General features: G+C 40.5%; 1 long non-coding RNA gene across 5 annotated transcripts in view, besides 2 other annotated features; it reads left to right on the top strand.

The window, feature by feature from the left end:
* Positions 1-9,945, top strand: part of LOC102724351 (uncharacterized) — a 29,933-nt gene extending 19,988 nt beyond the window's left edge. For 3 of the 5 annotated variants that reach the window (XR_428807.3, XR_007062279.1, XR_007062278.1), the window contains one exon: positions 7,699-9,411. This is a non-coding gene — a long non-coding RNA (uncharacterized LOC102724351). Of the gene's footprint in view, positions 1-7,698; positions 9,412-9,910 lie in introns of those variants that run through there. The other 2 variants (XR_007062282.1, XR_007062283.1) reach the window with 2 other exon arrangements.
* Positions 17,936-18,601: an enhancer, noted in NCBI's record as "NANOG-H3K27ac-H3K4me1 hESC enhancer chr10:105688215-105688880 (GRCh37/hg19 assembly coordinates)". NCBI's record gives its function as "activates a minimal SCP1, AML or CMV promoter by ChIP-STARR-seq in naive H9 embryonic stem cells {active_cell/tissue: H9 hESC(naive)}" and the evidence as "EXISTENCE:reporter gene assay evidence [ECO:0000049][PMID:30033119]".
* Positions 19,268-19,933: an enhancer, noted in NCBI's record as "H3K27ac hESC enhancer chr10:105686883-105687548 (GRCh37/hg19 assembly coordinates)". NCBI's record gives its function as "activates a minimal SCP1, AML or CMV promoter by ChIP-STARR-seq in primed H9 embryonic stem cells {active_cell/tissue: H9 hESC(primed)}" and the evidence as "EXISTENCE:reporter gene assay evidence [ECO:0000049][PMID:30033119]".

Raw genomic sequence — 26,892 nt, 5'->3', positions numbered from 1 at the left:
TGTTGCAGCCCATCAGCAATCCTTCCTATAAACTAAACAAGGCTTCTCACAGCAGAGAAAGTCTCAGGATTTCAAGATGGGGAAAGTGGAAACTGCCAGGCCTCTTAAAAACCAGGTTCTGGAATTCACACAGCATCATTTTTGTCAGACATTTCTTCATGAGACAAAGCAAGTCACAAAGCAAGCCCAAATTCAAAGGGTGGAAAATTAGACTCCATTTATTGATGGGAAGAGCAGCAAAGCCACACAGCAAAAGGATATGAACTAGAAAGGTGGGATTCACCAGGGGCCTTTCTAATGATCTGTCACAGGAAGCTCTACAGATGTCATTAACACTGCTCATCCCATTTCTACCCTTCATCATTGAGCAAGTGAGAACCACCTGAGTACTTTTGGTCAAAGGAGGCTAACTTCTGAATTTTCTTATTAAAAAAAAAAGTAATATTGACTCATGAGAGAAATTTTAGAAATACTGTCAAAGCAAAGGAAGGAAAATAGCACCCACCTGCAATTCCACAACCCCAAAATAACCATTTTTAGGATTTAGGTATATATCCATCTAGCCTTTGTTCTAAAATATTGGTAATAAAATATAGACTATATATTATTATATGCCTTCCAGGCACTATACTGTGTACTTTGCATGGATTATCTCATTTAATATCATGACTCTATGAGATAGATATGATTACCTTCTTTACGGGAGAGGAAATTGAGGCTTAGAGACCTCAGCTAACTTAATATTTTATATATAATGCCATATAAGTTATGCATATATCTTATACATCTATCTTATATATCTCATACTGTTTCGTAAACTCCATTTTTCGTATAGTATTATATCATGTACATTTCATTACTTAATAGCTTTTGAACAGGCTGAATCAAAATTGAAAAGCAACAATGACTTCACAATATTTGGATTTCTGGTTCCTGGCCGTGTTTGCTTCTTGAGCCTGTCAGGTGTTTGCAGATTAGAACAAAATAATGATGTGTGCCCTTCACTGAAAAGTGCTAGCTTTGAAATTTTAATCTTTTATAAGAGTCTCAAGGCTTGATCTTGGCAAAGTTGGTTGTTGGAGAATATAGCATCTGAGTTGTTTTAAAATTAAAACACATTTCCTAAAAGCCCAGCAATGCGGGTGCCACGCTGGAGCTCATCCACCTCCCAGGAGCCGGAGTGGGAAATGACAGTATCAAGGGCCACAGGGACACCCATAATCTTTTCAGGCATCAGATATTTGTGTTTTTATATGAGATATTACTTAATGAAACAATCAGCCAGCTCTCAATAAATGAACAAGTCCTTCCAGTGACATGGGCCTTGCATTTATATCTTTAATCTCTAAATTTTGTATATTCTAGGGCAAAAATTGACAGGGGTTTGTGGTATGTGGGAGGGAAGGTAGAAATGCCTGGGAAGAGAAACTCAGTAATGTCCCTTTTTACAGGAAATCATAAATTAATAACCTGAAAAGATGTGAAAATAGCAAATAGGCTGTGAGAAGCAACATAAATATACAACATAAAATGACTTGCTTTACAATTACTCTGTAAATTTAGTGCCTGTTTGTTCTTGTTTATAAGGGGATGACATGATTCACCTCTACTTCTAGCTGTCAGAAATAGAAGACTCAGCAAGGTTCGTGGAAAAATTTTTCGAAATAAAGACCTTTAATCCACTTATTAAAATGATGCTCACAGTTCTCATTTCCAGCCTGCAATATAATAACAAAGATAAACATAGGAACAAAGCACTTTACTAATAAGGAAGAAATATTTTCATAGGCCTGATGTTGCCTTTTTACTTAACAGATATCATTGTGTTTTCAATTTATGGAGAAATACACAAGAAGAATAACCCAATTAAACAGACTGAGCTTTCCTAAATGCTGGTGATTATGTAGCCCTCCTGTGGATATTTACTTTTGGGAATGAGAAACCCTTGATTCCTAAATTTCTCTTTCATAACAGTACCATATGCCCAATTGAGTAGAGATTCAATGTTATTGGCTTGGTACCAAACCAGTAGTAAACTGGTAAATAAGTAAATAAGTTTCTTTTCATATTCCAATTATAATAGATTGGAAATAGCTGCCTAGAACACTAAGTCGAAATGGATTCTGAGGTTGACAGTCCGAGCTCAGAAGAAGCCTTCTGAGATAATTCAGTAATTTTTTGCCACTGGCAGGCAATGCAGGGGATACCAGCATGAATATCTCAGTGTTGCCATCCCTGTTAAGATATAAGGAAATAATACTTTGCATGAAACATCTGTTTAATATTAATACTGTTTTCCACAATTATCCAACACATATTTATGGAGCACCAATTAGGTTCCAGAAAATGTTTTAGGTACTGGGACACAAAAGTGAACAAACAATATATACACACTAACTGACATTTGAATATAGTACTTCACTATTTCCAGTGATCTTTCCTGTATGATACCTTATTTAATTCTCACAATAGACTGGAAAAATAAATAAAACAGGCATTGATATCTACATATTACAGGTGAAGAGACTGAGGCATAAAAAATTTGAATGTATTTCTTTAGCTTAAGTATACCCATACAGCAAACAAAATACTTAATAGTGAAACTGTAAGAACATTTTTATTAAAATAAGAATAAGATTCAATAAGATTCACCATTTTTATTCAATACTGTATAAGAGGAACATAAGAACTGAAAATGTATTATATAAGTTACTCTTATTAAAGAATATACATTGTGGACAAATTCCAAGGACTCTATGTACACAATTAATATGAGGGCACAAGATTTCTGGATACAAAATCAATGTATGAGAATCAACAGCATTTCTATGCATCATTAGTATTAACTAGAAAATGTAATAGTAAAAAAAAATTATTCTCAACCACAGTAACAACAGGATGCAAATACAATTTCAACCAAAATCCCAACTTAGTTATTTGTAGAATTTGACAAGCTCATCCCAAAGTTCATATTGAAATACTTAGGGTCAACAAAACATAAGACAATAATGAAGATCGAAATGGAGGGATACTTACACTACCACATATCAAAACTTATTATAAAATTATAGCAATTAAGACAACATGGCCTTGGCCCAGGGACAGATGAATAAACCAGTCAAACAGGTTAAAGAGACTATAAACAGACCTGTGCATCAATGGAAACTTGATATACGGCAAAATTGTATTGTCATCAATGGAAATGATGAACTAGTCAATAAATGGCCTTGAGAAATTGGCTATTTTATGGAAACAAATATGTTCTTACATTACACCACACACACACACACACGCACACAAACTATTACTGTACAGGTAGATTAAAGACTTACAAATGAAAATCAAGTCTTTAAAACTTTCAAATTCACATCACTGTAGAAAGAAAAAAATTTTTCAAAAGAGAATATAGAAAAATATATTTAGAACTTTGGGATAGGAAAAAATTCTTACACAAAGCATAAGAAGACTGGTAAATTTAAATTTCTATACAACAAAGATACTTTAAACAAAGTAAAAAGATAAGCTGCACACTTGGAGAAAGTATTTGCAATGAATGCAACTGATAGGAGATTGGTTTCCAAAATATATAAAATCATCCCACAGAACACTAGAATAATGAACTCCCCCATCCACCATGGGCAAAGGATACAAACAGGCACTCACAGAAAAACCCAAATGACAAGCATTTGGAAAGGTGTTCAGCATCATTCAGGATCAGCAAAACACAAATTAAAACAATGATTTCACACCATCAAACTGTCAGAAAAGTTTTTAAAGCTGGAAAAGCTCAGCATTGATAAAGATGTAGCACAAAGGCGATTCTCATACACTGATCCATACAGATATTCAGGGGTATAGACTGATGGAGGCTCCAGGGTCTTCTGATAACACTGTTTTCAAACGTGGTTTCCAGGATCACTGCAGCAGGGAAAGAGAACAGAGAACTCAGTCATTCTTCTATGCTTACCCTGGAAGTAACACATAGCACATCTGCTTACAGTCCATTGGCAGAACTAGTCTCATGACACCCATCTGGCTGCAGAGGAGGATGAGAAATGCAGTCTTTTTGTGTGCCCAGAAAGAGAAAAATGAAACAATATTTGATGAACACATGGCATTCTCTCAGCCATATTTGACAAAATAATATAAAGCTAGGTAGCAGATAAATGTTAATTTTACCCTTCTTTATATTTGTGTATATATTTAAATACTTCATAATTTTTCAAAAAGGGGGAAGGTAAAGAGAGATTAAATTATCTGTTCTGGTTTACAGATCTAATAAGTGGTGGATTGAATATAACTGTCTCTATATAAACTGTCTTCCTTCAAAAGTCAAATCCATGTACTGTATTCAGATTATTCATTCAAGAAATATTTATTGACCAGGCACATTGGCTCATGCCTGTAGTGCTAGCACTTTGGGAGACTGAGGCGGGCAGATCACCTGAGGTCAGGAGTTTGAGACTAGCCTGGCCAACATGGTGAAACCCCGTCTGTACTAAAAATACAAAAATTAGCTGGGTGTGGTGGCAGGTGCCTGTAATCCCAGCTACTTGGGAGGCTGAGGCAGGAGAATTGCTTGAACCCAGGAAGCAGAGGTTGCAGTGAGCCAAGATCACACCACTGCACTCCAGCCTGGGCTACAGAGTGAGACTCTGTCTCACAAAAACCCCAAAAAGCCAGAAATATTTATTGAGCTCCTATTATATTCCTGCCTTTGAGCCTTGAGGAGTGTACAGTGCAATGGTAGAAGAGAGACACATAAATGATTACAATACAATGGGACATGAAGCAAATTATATACAAAGTGCTCCTGACCATTATAACCTGGTAACATAGTCACTGGAGACTTACTCATGATGGTCCTGACTCCCTGAGAGTTTTAAAATGTACATTGGCAATGCATGAGATCAATGTCATCTTCAATTATGAGAGCTGAACTTTTGTGGAGTGATTTTAGAAAATGCCTGAAGTAAAACCTGGTCATAATCTCCGCCTGATTCATACTCAGCCTGTACAGACTTGCTAGGGAGATGCTGCTAGAACAATACAGTCTTCTTAGACTTCATGTCTTCAGATAAGAAGTTCTTTGCTCATCTACCCCAAAGCAGAATTGAGAGAACCAAGTTCCCAAGGGAGAGGAGACTTGCTCAGCCTGCTAGTACTAAAGTCTTGTGCCACATTGGTGAAATGTCTAAGCTGACAGTTCTCAGTGTGTGGCAAATCAGTGGAGGTCAGAGACGAAAAGACCTAGCATATTTTCTAGGCTCTTCTATGATCACAATTTGCTTCTGATAATTTATCTCCTGATAGTCTCCTCAATGTGATTTTTAAAGTTTTCCATTACACACACAGCTCTGTTTCTCCAGGGAGTTCCATAGTCTAGTTTATTCATTCATTCAACACAAATGTTTGAGTTGGAAATATAGTAACTAGCAAAACAGACACAGTCTCTGACTTCATGGAGTTTATATTCCAGCTGGGGAATAGACATTAATTAAATAGGTATGCCATTAAACTTCTTATATGTTGGTAAGAGTTATGAAGAAAAATAAAATAAAAGGTGTTGTGAAAGAGAATAAAGGCTACTAGGAATTCTAATTTAGAATGGAAGGGTTAGGGAATGCAAAGCTAGGCTGGTGGTGGCTTGGCCTAGGGAACTGGTAGAGGAAAGTCTATATATTTGTGATATTTTTTGGTGGCTAAATAGATAGGATTTGATGGTTCATACATAGGTGGATGGAAGGAGACAGACTATCTGGGGTGACTCCTAGGCCTGAATCCATAATATAAATATTTCCCTTACCTTGTTAGAATTTTTTCTCTTATCTGTTTAAAAAAAACATATTGGCCAGGCACGGTAGCTCATGTCTGTAATCCCAGCACTTTGGTAGCCCGAGGCGGGCAGATCACCTGAGGTCGGGAGTTTGAGATCAGCCTGACCTGACCAACACAGAGAAACCCGTCTCTACTAAAAATACAAAATTAGCCTGGTGTGGGGTTATGCACATGTAATCCCAGCTACTCGGGAGGCTGAGGCAGGAGAATCACTTGAACCCAGGAGGCAGAGGTTGCGGTGAGCGGAGATCGTGCCATTGCACTCCAGCCTGGGCAACAAGAGCAAAACTTCGTCTCAAAAAAAAAAAAAAAAAAAAAAAAAAAAAAACCATATTTATCTGTATGTTGCATTCCTTGCACACGTTTGATCCTTAAACATAGATATTTCCTTACCTGACCAAAGGATCATTGGGATATTGACCACCTTTCACCTTTCTGTATTCAATGCCACTAGTCCTTTTGTCCTGTAGGCAGGATGTTGCTAAATCCAGATATGTGGGGCTCTCATCCCTCTCCTAATCTCTGCAGTTAGTCTATACTCTCAAAGAATAATTTAAAATTTAAATTTCATTTATTTACATTGCAGTCACATGTACATTAACATGGTGCACACAAGGATGTATACACAAAAGGGTGTACAATGAAAAGTAGACCTCCTTCAACCCCAGGTTGTCTACCTGCTCTGCCAAAGTCAAGCACCATTATACATTTCTTAACTGTCCCCCAAAAGATCATTTTTGCGTATGCAAATGAATACTTTGTAAACAAATGGAAGTATACTATACACACTGGTCAACACCTTGCAATCTTCACTTAACGTGTCTGGAAGATCTTTTCATGTCATCTTTTTATGATGGCATACAATATAATTAATTAATTATTTTTATTTTTATTTTTGAAATGGAGTCTCTTGTCACCCAGGCTGGAGTGCAATGGCGCAATCTTGGCTCACTGCAACCTCCACCTCCTGGGTTCAAGTGATTCTCCCACCTCAGCCCCTGAGTAGCTGGGATTACAGGTGCCCACCACCACGCCTGGCTAATTTTTGTATTTTTTTAGTAGAGATGAGGTTTCACCATGTTGGCCAGTCTGGTCTCGAACTCCTGACCTCAGGTGATCTGCCTGCCTCGGCCTCCCAAAGTGCCGAGATTACAGGCGTGAGCCACTGTGCCTGACCACAATTTAATTTAACTAATTTTATTTGTTTATTCTGCCCTTTATTGATGAACATTTTCATTGTTTCTAACCATAGGCCCTTACAAACAATGCTGCAATAAATAATCTTTTACATACCTCATTTCACAAATATGAAAACACCTCTATAGAAAAAAAATCCTATATACAGAATGTGGAAGCAAAGGGATGTGCATATGTAATTTTGATAGCTATTGCCATAATTTTAAAGTATATTCCAATTTACACTTCCACTTGCAAATGTGTTAGAGTTCCAGCTTTCCCACCTCCTCACTCACACATTATGTCATCAAACTCTTTGATCTTTGCCAATCTGAGAAGTGCAAATATTATTGCACAATTCTGATCTGCATTTATCTCACAGTGAGATTGAGCATCTTTTCCTTTGTAACAGCACTAAGATTATACCTCTTCTGTAAACTTTGCACATCTGCTATCTTATGTGAAAGAAGCTTTTCAAAATGAAAACTAATAAAAAGTGTTCTTGATTAACCATGAGTAAATATAGATTATCAAATCTGGTTGATAATGTACTGTCTTTTGAATATGAAGAAACAAAGATCAATTTTGATGAAGTCATTACCTAATTTGCAAAAGTTGTCATAAAATATTACTATTTATCACTGAGATAGAACTAACATTGGCATATTTTCCCTTTTTCGAAAGGAACAAGCTATTCATTCATACAGCATGGACGAATATTAAATGCATGTTGCTGAGTGAAAGAAGCCAGAATGATAAGGCTACATCCTGGAAAAGTTTATATTCTGGAAAAGGCAAAACTTATAGAGACAGAAACAAATCAGCCAGTTGTTGCTGGGGTTTGGGAGAGAAGAATGTTGACTATGTGAAGAACAAGGGATCTTGGGGGGCATCTATTCCATATGCTACTGTAGGGGTGGATGCATGATACTATCATTTGTGGAAAACCATAGAACTTTACAAAACTAACAGTGAACCTTAATGTCTGCAAAATTTTACAAAATCAACTAGGAGGCTGGGGGATCCCAGGATGAAATACAGGCAATGACAAAAGAGCCTAACTCTATTACACATTTATAACATAACCGCACCGAAGAGGACTGGTATTCTATAACTGTGGAAATAATGGAAACTGGAAAACTGAAGACAAAAGGAACTGTACTTAGCACTATACTCTAGTTGGTAAAGGCGTTTCTCAAGGGGTACCAGTTAACAATTCTGAGACTGCTGTACATGTATGCAGAGACTGAACAAATAAGTAAATGGCTGGTACATGCTCACTCTCAGGGAGGGAGGCCACAGATAAACAAGAGGAAGAGGCTCTAATGTCATGTGTGGTTGTGGATTAGAACCAGAAACATAAATATGAACTCATGTTTAGATTAATATAGATATTAATGGATTGATATAGAAATAATGATGATATGGGTATATATACAGGTTAGTATACAGTCATATATTTCTTATCCCTATCCACTGAGAGGGCCTAGAAACAACAATACTCCAGTAGCAACACACACATCTCGTGCCCATATCTTGATTTCTTTTGCCATTTCCTAACAAAAGGAGCCAGGACTTCTTGGAGAAATGGCTGATTCTAAGACTGGGTCAGAGAGTATACCAGATGACGCTGGCACATCTTCTACTGCTAGAAAGTAAGGAAATGCTCAAAAAATAAAACCACGGAGATATTTCAAAGGAACACAGAAGCCAAGTGGAACAGCTCCCAGTGGCCAAAGCTGGAAAAATTGGGGCAAAAAAAAAAAAAAAAGTATTAGGTTATAATCCAAAATATAAAATAAATAATCACCAGCCCGTACTAATGTGCATAAATTATTGAATAAATAAGTAAATGGGTGAAAAGAGAAAACTCTCTCCCATACAAAGGAAGCCCAAATAATTTATGTAGATGATCGCCCTGCAATGAGGCAGAGGGCAACTCCCTACCCTGTGTTAAGTGTGGATGGCACTTAGAGACTTGCTTCTGAAGAGCGCAATACGGAAAGGAGGGGAGAAGTAACTTGGCAATGAAGAAACCTGACAAACACCATCTTCTCCAGGCAGCCAAGGTTAACACCATCAGTGATAAGTTACGTTGATAGCCTGTATTTTTGATATGATGTGTTGAGAATGTACTTAGTTTCTGTGGTCTTCTTCCCAAACACCTGACACCAGGCTCACCAGGAGAAAATGAATCCAAATTAAGGGACATTCTACAGAATACCTGACCAACACTCCCTCCTAAAAACTGTCAAGGTCATCAAGGAATGTCTAGGAAGAAGGAAAGTCTGAGAAGTTGTCTCAGCCCAGAGGAGCCTTAAGAAGCCATGACAGGTAGGGCGCGGTGGCTCACGCCTGTAATCCCAGCACTTTGGGAGGTCGAGGTGGGCGGATCACAAGGTCAGGAGATTGAGACTATCCTGGCTAACATGGTTAAACCCCATCTCTACTAAAAATACAAAAAAAATTAGCCACACGTGGTGGCGGGCACCTATAATCCCAGCTACTCAGGAGGCTGAGGCAGGAGAATCGCTTGAACCTGGGAGGCGGAGGCTGCAGCGAGCCAAGATCGCACCACTGCACTCTAGCCTGGGCAACAGAGCTAGACTCCAGCTTAAAAAAAAAAAAAAGAAGCCATGACAACTAAATGGACTGTGATATCCTGAACGGGATACTGGAACAGAAAAAGGGTATTAATAAATCTGATCAAAGCAGAGAGCTCAGTTAATAAAAATGTGTCACTATTGTTTCCTCATTTGTTGTAACAAATGGTGCCATACTAATGTAAGATATTAATAATAGGGGAAACTGGATGCAGGATGTGTGGGAACTCTGTACTATCTTTGCACTTTTCTGTAAAGCCAACACTATTTTTATTTATTTATTTTTGAGACAGGGTCTCCATCTGCCTCCCAGGCTGGAGTACAGCGGTGCCATCACAGCTCACTGCATCCACGACCTCCTGAGCTCAATAGATCTTCCAGCCTCAGCCTACTGAGTAGGTGGGACTACAGAAGTGCATCACCATGCCCGGCTAATTTTTGTATTTTTGGTAGAGATGGGGTTTCGCCATGTTGCCCAGGCTGGTCTCGAACTCCTGGGCTCAAACAATGTACCCACCTCGGCCTCCCAAAGTGCTAGAATTACTAACACTTTTGTAAAGTAAAAAGTTTAAAACAAAAAATAAGATTGGTAGATGGATAGAGGGTTGGATAGATAGCTGCGTGATAAAGCTGTGTGATAAAATATAAGAAAATATTATTGGTAAGATCTAGGTGCTGGGCATAAAAGTGTTTGCTGTAAAATTTCTCTGACTTTACTGTATGTTGGAAAATATGCACAATAAAATGTTGGCAAAAAGAATATTAGTATAATTCAGAGTTATTAATGTTGCTCATGTTTTTCTTTTTGCACTGTCATCTTTCTTTTTTCCTTATTTATTTATGGGCATGATTATATATAGAAAGTTTTAAAAAAATTTTTCCTGTTGCATTTCATTTCTGACCATTACTACCATTCATTTTTTCATGATTATTACTGAAAATTATTTTGTCATGTGGAAGATTGTTTTAAAATTATACCCTCTGGGTATCAAATCATTAGATATGCCACTGCCAAGTATAACCGAATGTGTACTACCAAGGGGATCCCCCAGCCAGCTCCTGTCCTGGGGAGAGGCTGTGTAGGCAGCATTCACTGGGCTCTCTGTAGGGCGCTGTGAGCCCAAAGGGCAGCAGCTGCAGTGGCGGCGTGAGGGCTGGCAGCCTCGACAGTGGCCCCACTGCCCTTGTGGTGGTGAAGAGCCTGCTGTCAGCTTCAGCCCAGGCATCTGCAGGAGACACTGGGCACTTTTGGCCCAGACATTGGCAGCCTCGACAGCAGATAGATTCCCAGGGAGCTGAAGCAGAGCAGGAGGAGGACCAGGGCAATGCCACCTGGTATCTGGGGAAAAAGCCAAACAAACAGGATTGTATGTATGTAGGCATGTATGTATGTATGTCTGTCTGTATTTTAGAGCCAGGGTCTCGCTCTGTTGCCCAGGCTGGAGTGCAGTGATGTGATCATAGCTCCCTGTAACCTCAAACTCCTGGGCTCAAGTGATCCACTCACCCTGGCCTCCTGAAGCGCTGGGATTACAGGCGTGAGCCACTGCACCTGGCCTTGTTGCCTTTTATAACTCATTTTTCTCATTGTGGTTTTGACTTGTATTTCTCTAATGATCAGTAATGTTGAGCTTTTTTTCATATGCTTGTTGGCTGCATGCATATCTTCTTTTAAAAAGTGTCTGTTCATGTACCTGCCCACTCTTTAATAGGGTTCTTTGTTTTACTCTTATGAATTTGTTTAAGTTTATAGATGCTGGATATTGACTTTTGTCAGATGCGTAGTTTGCAAAAATTTTCGTCCATTCTGTAGGTTATCTGTTTACTCTGATGATTGTTTCTTTTGCTGTACAGAAGCTCTTTAGTTTAATTAGATCCCACTTGTCGATTTTTGCTTTTGTTGTCATTGCTTTTGGCACCTTCATCATGAAACCTTTGCCCATTCCTATGTCCAAAATGGTTTTGCCTAGGTTGTTTTCCAGGGCTTTTATAGCTTTGGGTTTCACAGTTAAGTCTTTAATCCATCTTGATTTACTTCACACCAGTCAGAATGGGTACTGTTAAAAAGTCAAAAAATAGCAGATGCTGGTGAGGTTGCGAAGAAAAAGAAACGCTTATACATTGTTGGTGGGAGTGTAAATTATTAGGCAAAAACCACAATTACTTTTTGCACCAACCTAATAGTTCAACATTGTGCAAAGCAGTGGGGCGATTTCTCAGAGACCTAAAAACAAAACTACTCTTCAATTCAGCAATCCCATTACTGGGTATATCCCCAAAAGAATATAAATCATTCTCTCATAAAGACACATGCACACATATGTTTGTTGCAGCACTATTCACAATAGCAAAGACATGGAATCAACCTAAATGCCTATTAATGATAGACTGGATAAAGAAAATGTGGTACCTATACACCATGGAATATTATGCAGCTATAAAAAAGAATGAGATCGTGTCCTTTGCGGGAACATGCATGGAGCTGGAGGCCATTATCCTTAGCAAAATAATGCAGGAACAGAAAACCAAATACCACATATGCTGATTTATAAGTTGGAGCTAGATGATGAGAACACATGGACACAAAGAGGGGAACAACACACACTGGGGTCTACCGAAGGGTGGAGGGTGGGAAGAGGGAGAGGATCAGGAAAAATAACTAATGGGTACTAAGCTTAATACCTGGGTAATGAAATTATCTGTACAACAAACCCCCATGACACAAGTTTACCTATATATCAAACCTGCACATGTACCCCTGAACTTAAAATCGAAGTCTAAAAAATAAATAAAATCACATTTTAAGTGATTCAAAAATTTGTGGGAAAAAAACTCATTTTTCTCATTTTTTAACAAATCCTCCCCACCTTCCTAATCTGTATGGTGATGACTTAGACGCGTAACCCAGTTATCAGCTGGGGCCTCCCTGCACATTCCATCCTTGCCTGAGTTTCTCTGGTTTTCTGAAAATTTCCAGAGGTACGTAAGTTCTCCATGGTCTTGGAGTTTACACGTCCATATTAGTCTCTGTTTTACAGCACATGAATCTGGATGTGAAACTCCACTGCCTCTCACACCCACCCGTGATGGGAGGTACCTCTTCACTAAAGATTTTGGGAGTGGGAGGCCAAGGCAGGAGGATCGCCTGAGGTCTGGAGTTCGAGACCAGCCTGAGTAGAGAAACCCTGTCTCTACTAAAAATACAAAATTAGCCAGGCGTGGTGGCGCATGCCTGTAATCCCAGTTACTTGAGAGGCTGAGGCAGGAGAATCGCTTGAACCTAGGAGGCAGAGGTTCCGGTGAGCCGAGATTGTGCCACTGCACCCTAGCCTGGGCAACAAGAGCAAAATTCCATCTCAAAACAACAAAAAAGATTTGGGGAGAGCGATGGAGGAGTTTACATGGCAATGCAAATGACTTCAAATGCATAGGCCTGCTGGCTACAAGGCCACAAGTGACAGGGCTGCTCTCACTACATCCTGGACCGGCTTCAAAGCCTGGATCAATGCTGGACGTCTTCCCAGTCACCAGCAAAAGGGCTGAAGCAGTGTTTCCGAGTGTGGAAGATGCTGCCTCCAGAGCCCTACCAGGCACTGTGCTTCCTTTTCAGTAGTGGAGGCATGAAATGCAGACATTTGTCCTTTACTTTGAAGGGGATATCCCAGGGTAACCCAGGCTCTGTACTTATGTGGCACTGTGTGGACTAAACATTTCACTGACATGGCAGAGCTCCAGCCTCTGAAGCACAAGTGTCTTATCAAGGCCTCCAATGTACTTGCACTTCTTGCTCACCCAGTATGATTAACATGGTATCATTGATATAGTAGATCAATTTGATGTGATGTTCTCTCTAACTTCCAAGAGGCATTCTAGCAGTGCAACAGCTAGTGTTTCCTGGGTCCTTGCCGAGGTGAACTCCTACATCATGGGAAAGTGCTCTCTTATCAATGAATTCTTCTTTATCCAACTGTATGCTCTACCTCCCTCGATTATGCATACTCAGGATTGTTAAAAGAAAAACTTTAGACAAATTAAATTTAACAGAGTTTAATTGAGCAAAGAATGATTTGCAAATCAGACAGCCACTTCTCCCCAACCCCGTCTCCCTCCCCTCCCAACCAGAGAGGATTTATGGACAGAAAAAGGAAAGTGATGTTCAGAAAATGGAAATGAGGTACAGAAACAGATGGATTGCTTACAGCTCAGTGTTCGCCTTATTTAAATACTGTTCGAACAGTTGGCTGCCTGTGAGTAGTGGAAGTGTGGTTTCTGTGATTGGCTGGGACTTGGCTACTTGTTACAAGAGTAGATTACAGTCTGTTTACACATCCAGTTAGGTTACAGTTAATTCACTATGTACAGAAAAACCTTTAGGCTGAACTTAAAATATGAGAAGAGGCAGCTTTAGGCTAAACTGAATTTAACAGGATCCCTATGTACTCTTCCAGCTTCTGACAACATATGTTGTCCAGGTCCTGCAGCTCCTTTGAGGAATGGTCTCTTTTCTCCCTGAGCAGGCTCTTCAATTATGTTGTAACCTCACCCTCATTACTGGTTTGGTGGCAGGATGAAGGGAGACGTTGAGATTCTGTGGGGAAAGAAGTTGTTTTCTTGCAAGGCAAAAATCTCTGTATTGACTTCAAAAGTAGGGAGTGTTAACCTTTAACCAACCAGGAGAATGGGCCCCTTCTGCAGGCCCAGAGAATTCAGAGGAAATCTGGGAAGTCAAAATTTACAAGGACACTTGCCTATATGTCCTCACCCCAAATCTCAGGATCCCACTCCCTCCCAACTAGGATTGTGACTTTGACATAGACAGCTCACTAGGATTGAGAATTCTGCCTTCACTGGAGCTCTGCGACTTCTGTTTGCTTGGTTGGTTGGTTTGTTTTGTTTTTGAGACAGGGTCTCACTCTGTCACCCAGGCTGGAGTGAAGTGGCACGATCACGGATCACTGCAGCCTCAACCTCCTGAGGCCCAAGCAATCCTCCCACCTCACCCTCCCAAGTAGCTGGGACTACAGTCACGCACAATCACGCCCAGCTAATTTTTGTGTTTTTTGTAGAGAGAGGGTTTCACCATGTTGCCAAGGCTGTTTTGGAACTCCTGAGCTCAAGCAATATTCCCTCCTCCGTCTCCCAAAGCGCTAGGATTACAGGTGTGAGCCCCAGCGCCCAGCTGTGGCTTTCTAATTTAAGTTCTGGGTCTCATCTTCAGGAGGTCCAAACTCTGACTGCAGGAGATGAGAGTCTCTTGTGCTGCCAAGAAGATCTTCTGGTTTTTACATTCAGCCTGAAATTGGTGGTTAATCACCCATAACCTTTCATCGTCTCTCTCCAATGCATTGAGAGTGGCCAGTAACAACCATGCCATTTTATTGTCCTTAAATTACTACTTTCCCCAAACCTCTGGATGGGCCTTCAGCCCATTCCAGTTTACCACTGGTGAAAGTCTTGCCCCACCAGGGACTCCATCTACCACTAGGGAAGGGTTCTCATCACCAGCCAGTCAGCAGCGACCCAGCTTCAAAATCCTACATTAGACGCTGCTTCCTAGGACCACTTTACCCCTGTGCCTGCTGTTGTAGGTCAGGTTCCTCTGGGCTGTCAGACTCTGAGATTTGCCTGATAGGGAATATTAGAAAATGCTTTCAGGAGCTGAGCCCTGAGGGCATGAGGGAAGCAGGATTGCACAGAAGGACAAGTTGAATTGAAGGGCAGTTACAATAGAGGCCTCAGCTGATCCCACAGAAAGTTCTAGAGCTGGGATAGTTAATCAGAAATGTCATGCACTAAGTTCTGGGGATGTGTCAACTGGTTACTGTCCCTGAGGGCAGGGCATAATTTTGGATGAGGTCACCCTACCTTGAAAGTGGCCAGTAAAACCCCATTTTCCCTCTACTCAATCCTGCTTCCCTCACCCACTCAGGGCTCAGCTCCTGAAAGTGTTTGCTAATATTCCCCTACAGGGGATCCTCAGAGTCTGAGAATGGGGAACCTGACCTACAGGTAGGATGACCAGGAGCAACCAGGACTGAGAAAAAGCCTAGGGCATGGGAACATCAGCGCTAAAACTGAACAGTCCCAAGCACGCAAGAATGTTTGGTCACTCTACAGCATCTGTCCATAAGCCCTGGCTTTAAAATACACTACAGGGAGCTGCGATTCTGTCAGTTATAATCTATCAATAACAATGAATATATCTGGCTGGGTGTGATGGCTCATGCCTGTAATCGTAACACTTTGGGAGCCAAGACGGGAGGATCACTTGAAGCCAGGACTTAAAGACAAGCCTGGGCAACGTAGTGAGGCTTCATCCCTACAAAAAATTGAAAAATTACCTGGGCCTAGTGGCACACACCTGTACTCCCATCTGCTGGGCAGACTGAGGTGGGAGGATCTCTTGAGCCTAGCCAGTCAAGGTTATAGTGAGCTATGATCGCACCACTGCACTCCAGCCTGGGTGATAGAGTAAGACCCTGTCTCTTAAAAAACAAAACAACAACAACAAAATGAATATATATGAATAGAATATACATCAGTAGTTAAGACGCTGGGCCACTGGATGCATTCTAAGGAGTAGGTCAACTAAAAAATGCTGCTAGAAGGTTTGTGACTATGTGACTATATTTGATTTGTAATATTTAGCGAGTCATTGAGTAGAAATATTAACATCTCTTAGGTCATGTCCCTGACATAAAAATGGAGTAGAAGTTGCTGAAACAAGGCCAAGGAAACAAGTTACAAGGAAATAAAAGATCACATCAGAAAAACTAGAAACATCAAAGGCAACAGGTTGGCTAGCAACAGCATCAGAACCACCTGGGGCTCTTACTGCAAATGCAGAGTCCCACCAGCAGAAATAACCCAATTTGGTGGCTCCAGGATTGGGACAGGAGGCCACTGGAGCCTTCCTTTTTAACAGGTTCCACAGAAGATACTAATGCAAGTGACACCAGATCTCACTCTAAGAGGCACTGCAGTGTTTCTACCATCTGCTTTCTTTTAGCCCATTGATTAATCACCAATTATGTTCTTAAGTTTTAGCAAGTTAGGTTGCCAGATAAAATACAGAACACCTAGTTAAATTCGCGTTTCAGATGAACAACAAATAGCTTTTTAGTACGTCTCATGGAACCATAAAATATTAATAATATAAAAACATAACATACTATAATAGAAATGTAATGTTAGAATATGAATGATACTGTTATAAATTAAATGATCACATCAAATAGACATAAATAAGTAATTATAATAAAATATAATAGAAGTGTTTAGTAAGAAGAAACTATTCATTGTTTACCTGAAATTCAAATGTGGCTGAACATCCTGCATTTTGATTGGCTAAATCTGCCAGCCCTGCTATCAAGGGAATTTTCAAACACACACAAAAGTAGAAAGAAAGTAGAATAGACCCACGTGTAACCATCCCTCTGCTTGAATAATTATCAAAATTTTGCTCCAGTTATTTTTTTATTGAACTTTTATGCTTATCCCCCATGCTGTGGAGAACATAGAAAAAAATGATGTTCTTAAGTAGCTTATGCTTAAGTTGGGGAACATGGTACACATTCCTGAAATAACTATTGAAGAAATAGGTGCTAAAGTATGTGATGCTGACTGTAAGTTGCACAGTTGTTTGGGGAAGGGAGCATCAGCCAATGTTGACTGGGGCGGTCTTGGCTGAGGGGAGGCGGGAGTGGAGATTGTGTTAGGCCTGATAAAGTCTGTGTAGATAAAGAGATGATTAAACAGGCTTTCTAGGTGGTAGGTGAGGTAACCAGCATAACCAGGCTGTATTCACTCTGGCTCTATAAAAAAACTCTCTTTCCATTTGAAAGCACTCACCACACCCCGACGACCCTCCACCCCACCCTCGTGCTTCACACTTTAATCATCTGGGCCCAGAGCAGCTGTCACCCATCAGGCTAATATACATCAAGCACTACTGCAAATTACATCATCAGAACCGATTAGCCCTTGAACATGTCAGCATAATAGCACTTCTATCTTCTCTGGGTGACTCGTTAATTAATCTCTGGAATATGCTGTCTTTGACATCATTGGGGAGTTAAATTTTTCCTAGATTGAAAGTAGCCCTGGGGAAAATTATAAGTTGATAAGAGAAACAAAATTCTATTCAGCCGCCCAGCTTTATGCTAATGCTCATGAAATGTCATGGCTACTTGAACCTATAGGCATGTGAAAGGAAAATAAATCTCAGTACCCCCAAATCACTAAACCAAAGGGAAAAGTCAAGCTGGGAACTGCATAGGGCAAACCTGCCTCCCATTCTACTCCTCAATAAGATAGCTACAAAGATAAAAAAGCTATATACCTCCCTTACAATCTGCCCACAAGAAAATTCCCTGCGGACAAAAGGACAGACAGAACTCAAAGCCATTCCTCTGTTCACGTAAGACAAATGCATATCTGATTGCTACCTTCGGCCTATTGTTTCACTAAGCCAGACAAAGGCCTAAGTGACTGTTCCTGTAAATTGCCGTATTCAGTGAAAGGCTCATCAGAAACTCAAAAGAATGCAACCGTTTGTCCTTTATCTACCTGTGACCTGGAAGCCCCCACCACACTTCAAGTTGTCTTGCCTTTCTGGACCAAACCAATGTACGTCTTATGTATATTGATTGATGTCCCGTGTCTTCCTAAAATGTAAAATACCAAGCTGTGCCCCAATCACCCTGGGCACATGTCTTCAGGACTCCTGGGGCCATGTCACGAGTGCATTCTTAACCTTGGCAGAATAAACTTCCTAAATTGAGTCTTGTCTCAGATATTCTTTGGTTTACAGGCACATGTTGAAAAATAAAGCAAAGTACAAAATAATGCTCTGTGTTTTCTCTGGAATCACATTAACATTTAAAATGATCAGTTTTTTTTTTTTTTTGAGACGGAGTCTCACTATGTTGCCATACTGGAGTGCAGTGGTGCGATCTCGGCTCACTGCAACCTCCGCCTCCTGGGTTCAAGGGATTCTCCCGCCTCAGTCTCCCGAGTAGCTGGGATTACAGGCACGCGCCTCCACTCCCAGCTAATTTTTGTACTTTTAGTAGAGACAGGGTTTCACCATGTTGGCCAGGATGGTCTCGATCTCCTGACCTCGTGAAAAATGATCAGTTTTTCCATACGAGTGACAAGAAGGCAAAATGTGGGGTCTTACACATTCACACACTCACTTTTTAATTCCTCTCAACTTTAAATGTAACTGTAAACACTAAGAAGAATGCAAACTTGAAAAAAATACTTTATTGAAATATAATATAGCTACAGATCAAGAAACACAAAATAACCAGTAGCCCCACAAGCCCTCTTCATGCTCCTTTGAAGTCAACACCCTTCATCAAAGGGTAATTGATTCTTTACCTCTAATAGCATAGAACAGCTTTGACTGGTTTTGTACTTTATATAAATAGAGTCATATGATATGTACTGTCTTCTGTGTTTGCCTTCTTTCATTCCACATCACATTTGAGAGATTCAAGAGAAATAGCTTTTGTAATTAATATATACTCAACATTTTAAAAATTGGAGCTGGGTGCGGTGTTTCAGGCCTATAATCCCAACATTTGGAGAGGCTGAGACGGGAGGATCACTTGCACCTAGGAGTTCAAGACCAGCCAGAGCAATATAGTGAGGCCCCCAACTCTACCAAAAAGAAAAAAAAATTGGAAAACATCCCTTTAGATTACTTTTAAAATCGTATGTATGGGCTGGGCACGGTGGCTTACATCTGTAATCCCAACACTTTGGGAGGCAGAAGTGGGCGGATCATGAGGTCAAGAGATCGAGACCATCCTGGCCAACATGGTGAAACCCCATCTCTACTAAAAATACAAAAATTAGCTGGGCATGGTGGTGGGCGCCTGTATTCCAGCTACTCAGGAGACTGAGGCAGGAGAATCGCTTGAACCCAGGAGGCAGAGGTTGCAGTGAGTCGAGATCGTGCCACTACACTCCAGCCTGGCGACAGAGCAAGACTCCATCTCAAAAAAAAAAAAAATTGTATGTATGTCTGTACACAATTTATTTGACCAAGACTATAAATTTTTATAAATGTCCTGCCTAAAAAGAAAAGTTATTTTTTCTTTTTGACATTTTCATTAATTCTTTTATCCTGGCCTATTATAATGAATATTAATCCAATTTCTCCAAAACTTAATCTTTACCCAGCTCCAAATGCCTTACAATCTTTGTAGCATTTTTATGAGAAGAGAAATATAAGAATAACACAAAGGTGTTTTCCAGCTGGTGGACCCACTAGCAGCTGGTGACCACTAGGGAGGTCGATGTGTTGCCAGCTCTGTCCCTGTAAGGACATCTGTCATCTGTCAGAGCAATACTCTGGGACTTTCTCAGAAGAGTGCATGTGCATCAAGACTTGGCTGATTGTTTCCACTCACTTAATTATAAGCCTGAGTCCAGTTAAAAAAAAAAAGGGAGTTCACCTATCACATAAACTACCAGTAATCATGGGAACTTCCAAAGTTGGCAAGACACTGTGGATTTATGACTTAAATGACCAGGAATAATGTAGAACGCCAGGCAACAGTCACATAGATTTTTATACCATAAACTCCACAAACCATGCACAGTGTTGCCCTGTGATACAGGCTTTCTAAAAAAATTCTTTGATTTTCTTAATTTTAAAAATTGTGTTAAAATACATGTAACATAAAATTTACCATCTTAACCATTTTAAGCGTACAGTTCAGTGGTATTAAGTATATCCATATTATTGTGCAATTATGACTGCCATCCATCTCCAGATCTCTTCATTTTGCAAAACTGAAACTCTGTACCCATTAATCAGTAACTCCTCATCCCCCCTACCGCAGCCCCTGACAACCATCATTCCACTTTCTTCAAGATGCAGATTTTTAAAGCACAAAACGCAAAGTTCTCTTGTGTACTCAATCCAGTCTCTTGGGACACAAATTTTCCTTAATTAAAGTCATTCTCTGCTCTCCAGAATGAACCCTAGCCCATTACCTCCTGCCCTCTTCATCTTTGCAAGGGTCATAATCCTTTGGTCAAGTTCCTGCCATTTGGACAGGAAGGATGAGCTATTTGACTCACATGAAAGGACCCAAGTAGCCCTCTTGATGCAGTGGGCAGCACTGTCAGTCTCATAAGTGTAAGGACCTAGAGGGTATCTCACCCTCAGCCATCTCTCCCTTTTATATCTGCTTCTGCTTATTCCAAGAATGAGAAGAAGCAGAAATGCGAATTGCACCCTGGTTCACCTGGGGCCTTCTGCTGACACAGGAATCTCCTTCAAAGTCCATGAGGCGGGATGGGCTGTAACTGTTATCTACAACTAGGCAATTTCTGACTTTGTTCTACAATTCAGTCCTTCACTCCTTAAATTCTTGAGCCACCTTATTCCCCCTGACCAAATGGACTTGCTGTTAACTAAAAGCTATATCACTAATAACTTCTAGTTATGGGTGACTGACAAGATCAGCAAATCATCTTGCCAAAATGCAAACATAAAACTGGACAAAACTGACCAAAACAACCATTTCAGCACTCTGAGATCAAAGACACACAACAGTCTGAAAGCAGTTATGCTTGAAAATGACTGAACTCCAGGTAAGAACAGTGAGCATCTGATGCATTTGGCCTGGGGCCTCTCTCATTCCCCTTGCTGACCCCAGCTTGGTTAATGTAGATGTTCTGTCTGGGAAGGGCAAGCTCTCAGCGCAAGCAGCACCTCTACCACAGTCAAAGGGGCTCATTCAATTTGGAGTACCCATTCCTAAAGGGAAAAATGAAGAGCACAAAAGTAATAGTTATACAGGTTATTACAAAATCATCTATGGTAATTTTTCTTCTCATTTCTTTTTTTTTTTTTTTTTTTTTGAGACGGAGTTTCACTCTTGTTGCCCAGGCTGGAGTGCAATGGCACGATCTCGGCTCACCACAACCTCTACCTCCCAGGTTCAAGCGATTCTTCTGCCTCAGGCTCCCTAGTAGCTGGGATTACAGGCATGTGCCACCATGCCCAGCTAATTTTGTATTTTTAGTAAAGGCGGGGTTTCTCCTTGTTGGTCAGGCTGGTCTTGAACTCCTGACCTCAGGTGATCCGCCCGCCTCAGCCTCCCAAAGTGCTGGGATTACAGGCATGAGCCACCACGCCCGGCCTCTCATTTCTTATCTAACTTTTTTCAAAGACATGAGATTGTATAAAGCAATAATTACAACATTGTATTGCTGTGTTTATAACATATAGATGTAATATATATGTAAATAATAGCACAAAGAAGGTGGGAGGGATAGAAGAATATTGAAGCAAAATTTTTATGTTTTTCAGGAATTTAGTATTAATCTGAAGTACATTATGATAAATAAAGACATATATTGTAATTCTTAGACTACAATCTCTGAGAAATAGCTAAAACTTTTTTCAAAATGTGGAGTAATTCAGACGTTACCCTAAAAATATTTAACACAAAAGAAAAGAAAAAAGGAAAGCAATCAAGGATTAACCGATTAATAAAAAAGAAAGTTGACATATAGAAAACAAATAGAAAAATAGCAAATATAAATCTAACCATATCAACAATTACATTAAATGTGAATGGTCTACATACCCCAATCAAAACCCAGAGATTATTAGACTGAATAAAAAGACAAGAGCCAACTATATGATATCTATAAGAGGCTTAGATTCAAAGACACAAATAGGCTGAAAGTAAGAAGATGGAAAAAGATACACCATTCAAAGAGTAACTATTAGAGGACTGAAATGGTTATATTAACAGACAAAACAGACTTTAAAACTAGAAATATTACTAGAGACAAAGAGGAACAATTTCATAACAATAAGAGTCAATACATCAGAAAGACATAACAATTAGAAATATATGTGCCTTTAACAACTAAGCTCAAAATACATAAAGTAAAACTGACACCTTTCTCAGAGATAACTCACATGAAGCAGGGGGAAAAGTTACTGTCCTCTGATTACTCCAACTCAGGGCCCCCACTTTATGCTGCTAAGTTATACAGCATTTATCATGACATATTGTAATTGTCTGTTTACTTGTTTGGCTCACCTGGAGCCTTTTTTCCTTTTGTATGCCCAGGATACAGCACTTTTTTCAGTCTGCTCAGCAGATACAGAACAGTTGACTTTTGTAATCAATTAATTAATAAGTGAATGGTATCCTAGGCAGAAGGGGAGAAGCAAAAGACAGAGTGGCATATTGTAGGAACTATAAGTTGTTCCAAATAGCTTGAGTTGTGTATTCCAATGTAAACTATTGATTGGATTTAAGTCCAGACTTATTTGGGCAAACTTTCTTCAATATTTTGAGGATGTATTCTTCAGAACAGCATTGGAGAGATGATGGTCTGAAGTGTAGGATGGCTATGAGGGACTGATGGGAGATGAGCCTGGAGAGGCCAGGCCAGGAGGAACTTGGTAGGAAATGCTAAGAGATTTGAACATTATTCTGCAGACCACATAGAGCCATTGAAATATTTCAGACAAGGGAGTAACATAGTTTAATTTGCATTTTATAAGGCTCACCTTGACAGTGGCACAGATGATGAATTGGAAGAAAGCCAGGCTAAAGGCAAAGAAACTAGTTGGAAGGTAGTGTCAGTAACCCAGGCAATAAATGACAAAAGCCTGGGCTCAGGTTATGGCAGTGGGAACAGGGAAGAGAGGCTGAGTTACGAAAACGCATTTAGAAAACAGAACTGACAGGTCTTCATGACTAATTACATTGTAGGGTGAAACAGAGGGAGGTGTCCTTGAAACATTCCAGGTTTCTGACTTCGACAAAAGGCAGGTGGTGGTGACATTCATCCTGACATTCATCCTGACTTAGAAAGGAGAAATGGGGAAGAGGTTTACTTTGAGGTATCCAGGAGAGTCTGGTTGGAAATTCACATGACAGACTCAGGAGAGTGTTCTGGGCTGGATGTGAAGAATTGAGAGTCACTAGAAGATTGTTTCCACTGAAGTCATAGGTTTGGATAAGGCCACTCAGAGAAAGTACATAGGGTAAGAAGGGAAATGAGCAGGAGATTGAACCTTGGGGAACATCAACATGTAAAAGAGATAACAGGAGAGGACACTGAGAAGGAAGAAACAGAGGCAGTAGGAGGAAAACCTAAAAGGTGAGAAAACCCATCAGGAAGCCAAGGTGGGACTGAGAGAAAATATGATCAAATCAACATCAAATACTAGTACATCAAGAAAAAAAAGATACAGAATGATAAGGAAAGAAAAGTATTCATTGAATTTGAATCTGCTAAGGTTATTGTGAGTCTTAGGAGAGCAATGTCAGTCGAGTGGTGGGCTGTGGTGGGGTGGGTTGAAGACCAAGATAAGCCAAATGATGGTGGGTTGAATTAGAGACCTACCACAGAGAAGTACAGATAGGAAGCATTTAGGACTCTTCCAAGGAGCTTTGCTTTGAAAGGAGATGAGAGTGAGCTGGAGGGCAGTAGTTAAAGGGGAGAAGGGGGTCTTCAGAGATGCTGCTTTTGGAAAGTTTGGATGATGTTAAAGAGAGCAGGAGAGCGTGCTTATGGGCCAAGGGGAAGCCAGAGAGAGAGGGAGGATGACATCATAAGGGATTGAGCCAGGTTGCTAAGGAGGCAGGAGGACAAGTGATACAGATGAGGCCCACTGCATTAGGCCCAGAAATGTTTTCTTATTCTAGTTTCTTCACCACCAATTGATGAATATCCGTAAGACACAATTTTTAGGATAGATTCAGTAAATTGGATTGAGAACACTTCTTATACATTTTTGTACCCCCCACCGTAGTATGTTAGATGTGGCAGGTATACCTACAATTCTTTTTTTTTTTTTTTGAGAGAGAGAGAGTCTTGCTCTGTTGTCCAGGCTAGGGTGCAGTGGCATGACTACAGCTCACTGCAAGTTCGGATTCCTGGGCTCAAGCGATCCTCCCACCTCAGCCTCCTGAGTAGCTGGGACTACAGGTGTACACCACCATGCCCTGCTGATATTTTTCTTTTTTGTGGAGATGGGGTTTCACTATGTTGCCCAGGCTGGTCTTGAACTCTTGGGCTCAAGCAATCCTCCCTCCTTGGCCTCTCAAAATATTGAGGTTATAGGGGTAAGCCACCACACCCAGCCTAACTACAATTTTTAAATTCATTAAATCGTTCCTCTGATGAATAATTAACAACTCCCGTTGTTTACAGGAATAAAGGTAGAAGCTAGCTCAAGACCTTCAGAATCTAACTAAAATCTTGGTCTCCAGGTGGCTTCCACTGCAGCCTCCCTCTCCAGCCAGGCTGCTGTGTTGGCTTACCCAGGAACATGACTCGCCCATCCTGCTGCCTATGCCGTGCTCCCACTCCATCACAGCATCACAGTACCCTTTTCACATAGAGTGAGACTAAGACTAAAATCCACACCAACCATGGCCTACAAGGTCCCTCGGATCTGCCTCCTGCCTATCTCTCCATTGCATATGCAACCGCTCTCCCCACACTCTCTTCTGTTCCTTGAACAGGGAAGTATTTTGCTGCCTCCACACGGTGGCCCTTGCTTTGACTGCTGCCTGAAATGCTCTTTGCTTAGCTCTGTGTGGCTGGCTTTTTAACCCTTCCGGTTTCAACCTGACGTCACTTCATCTAAGCACTGAGAACAATTTGTTTATTGTCCCTCCACTTTCCCCCTACAGAATGGAAGCTCCATAAGGGCTGGAACCCCACTGTCTTGTCTCTTTCTTACCCTCAATGTCTATTACAGTGCTTGACAAATGCCTTTAAAATATGCTTCATGAATGAAGCATGAATGAATGAACAGCTCCTCCATAATCTCAACACCCAGCTTAAATCCCACCTCCATAGTAAATATGAATAATAGCTGACATTTATTTAGTGCTTACCTTGTTCCAGTGGTTACATATATTATCTCACTTAATGAGGTCCCTCAATTTACCTCCTGTAACTCATACAGTAATTATCCATGCTACTCCTTTCATATTGAATCACAATTTAGCCTCTTACTTTGTTATTTAATATATTACAGGCATCACCCTTTTTGCTCCAGTGGCATAATTACTGCTCCTCCACAGCCCAGTGCCAAAGCACACAGAGAAAGCTCAAGATATGCTGAATGACTGAAGATGTCCCCGCCCCCCACCTGCCATCCCTGGGGTTATAATAGTAGCCTAAGAAAAATGTTGAGAGGTTGTCTTTATTATGGCAAAGATAAGCACAGTCAGACTTTAGTTAAAACAGTGAAAACACTTTACTGAATAACTATTGACAGTAGGGGAAAGAGCTGAGTTCCCTTCAGATTTATAGAGAGGTCACCGGGCTTTTTAAAGAGAAAATGAATTGGGGGACAGTGGGGCAGGGAAGAATTGCAGGTGCCTAAGAAGAGTCTGCGAAGTGAAAAAATTACAAAAAATGAGAAGAGAGGGGACCAGTCCCTGTGAGACCCATCTAGGCTTGCTAACTGGTGCTTATTGGAGTTAGGCTCCTACCCTCCAACAAAGGCTAGGAGACAAGGCCTTGCCTTCAGGTATTGGCTGGAACAAACAGTAAATTATTCTTCTTCTTTTTTTTTTTAATTATACTTTAAGTTCTAGGGTACATGTGCACAACGTGCAGGTTTGTTACTTTTGGCAGTCTTGAGTTTTCTCAGGCAGGCACTTTAAAGGGATCTAGGGTCATTCTAGGAATGTAGCCTTGAGCTGTTTGAAACTATGTAGCATTTGTTCATGTCTTTATAGGCCAAGGTTGAGGACAAATTGGGAAGAGGACTCAAGGAGACTGATTAGAGTTTGGTCAAAGAGAGAATCTTTTGTCAACTGTAAACTTCAAACAGAAAATCTAACCCACTTTGCAAGTGGACAAACTCAATTCCACCTGTAAAGGTGTAAAACATGTTTAAAACATGATAGTTTGAGTTTGAGGTATGAGATATCCAGTTCAATCCCCTCATTTTCCAGAAGAACTTGTTAAAACCTTAACTTTCTAGAAAGAATTGTCTATTCTGTCACAAATGCTTCAAAACCAAGTTCACAAGTTTCACATTGAGAAGCTATAAGAATGGGTTCCTAGCATTACATCTTAACTGCTGGGTTTTGAAATATCTGCTTTGCAGTGTTGCAGAATTCCAGAGGAGCCCTGCAGTGTTGAGGATTTTAGGAGTCCCTTCATACACGTCCAGGCGGTGGCTTGGGGAACCTGAAATCTGTGTTGATGGAGACTAAAGGGAAGAGGATCCTCCCAAATTCCTCTAAATGCTTCTGCA

The sequence above is a fragment of the Homo sapiens genome, chromosome 10, assembly GCF_000001405.40.
Source record: "Homo sapiens chromosome 10, GRCh38.p14 Primary Assembly".
In the NCBI taxonomy this organism is placed as follows: domain Eukaryota; kingdom Metazoa; phylum Chordata; class Mammalia; order Primates; family Hominidae; genus Homo; species Homo sapiens.
The sequence above is the reverse complement of the archived record's forward strand: the minus strand, read 5'-3'. Positions and strand labels throughout refer to the sequence as shown.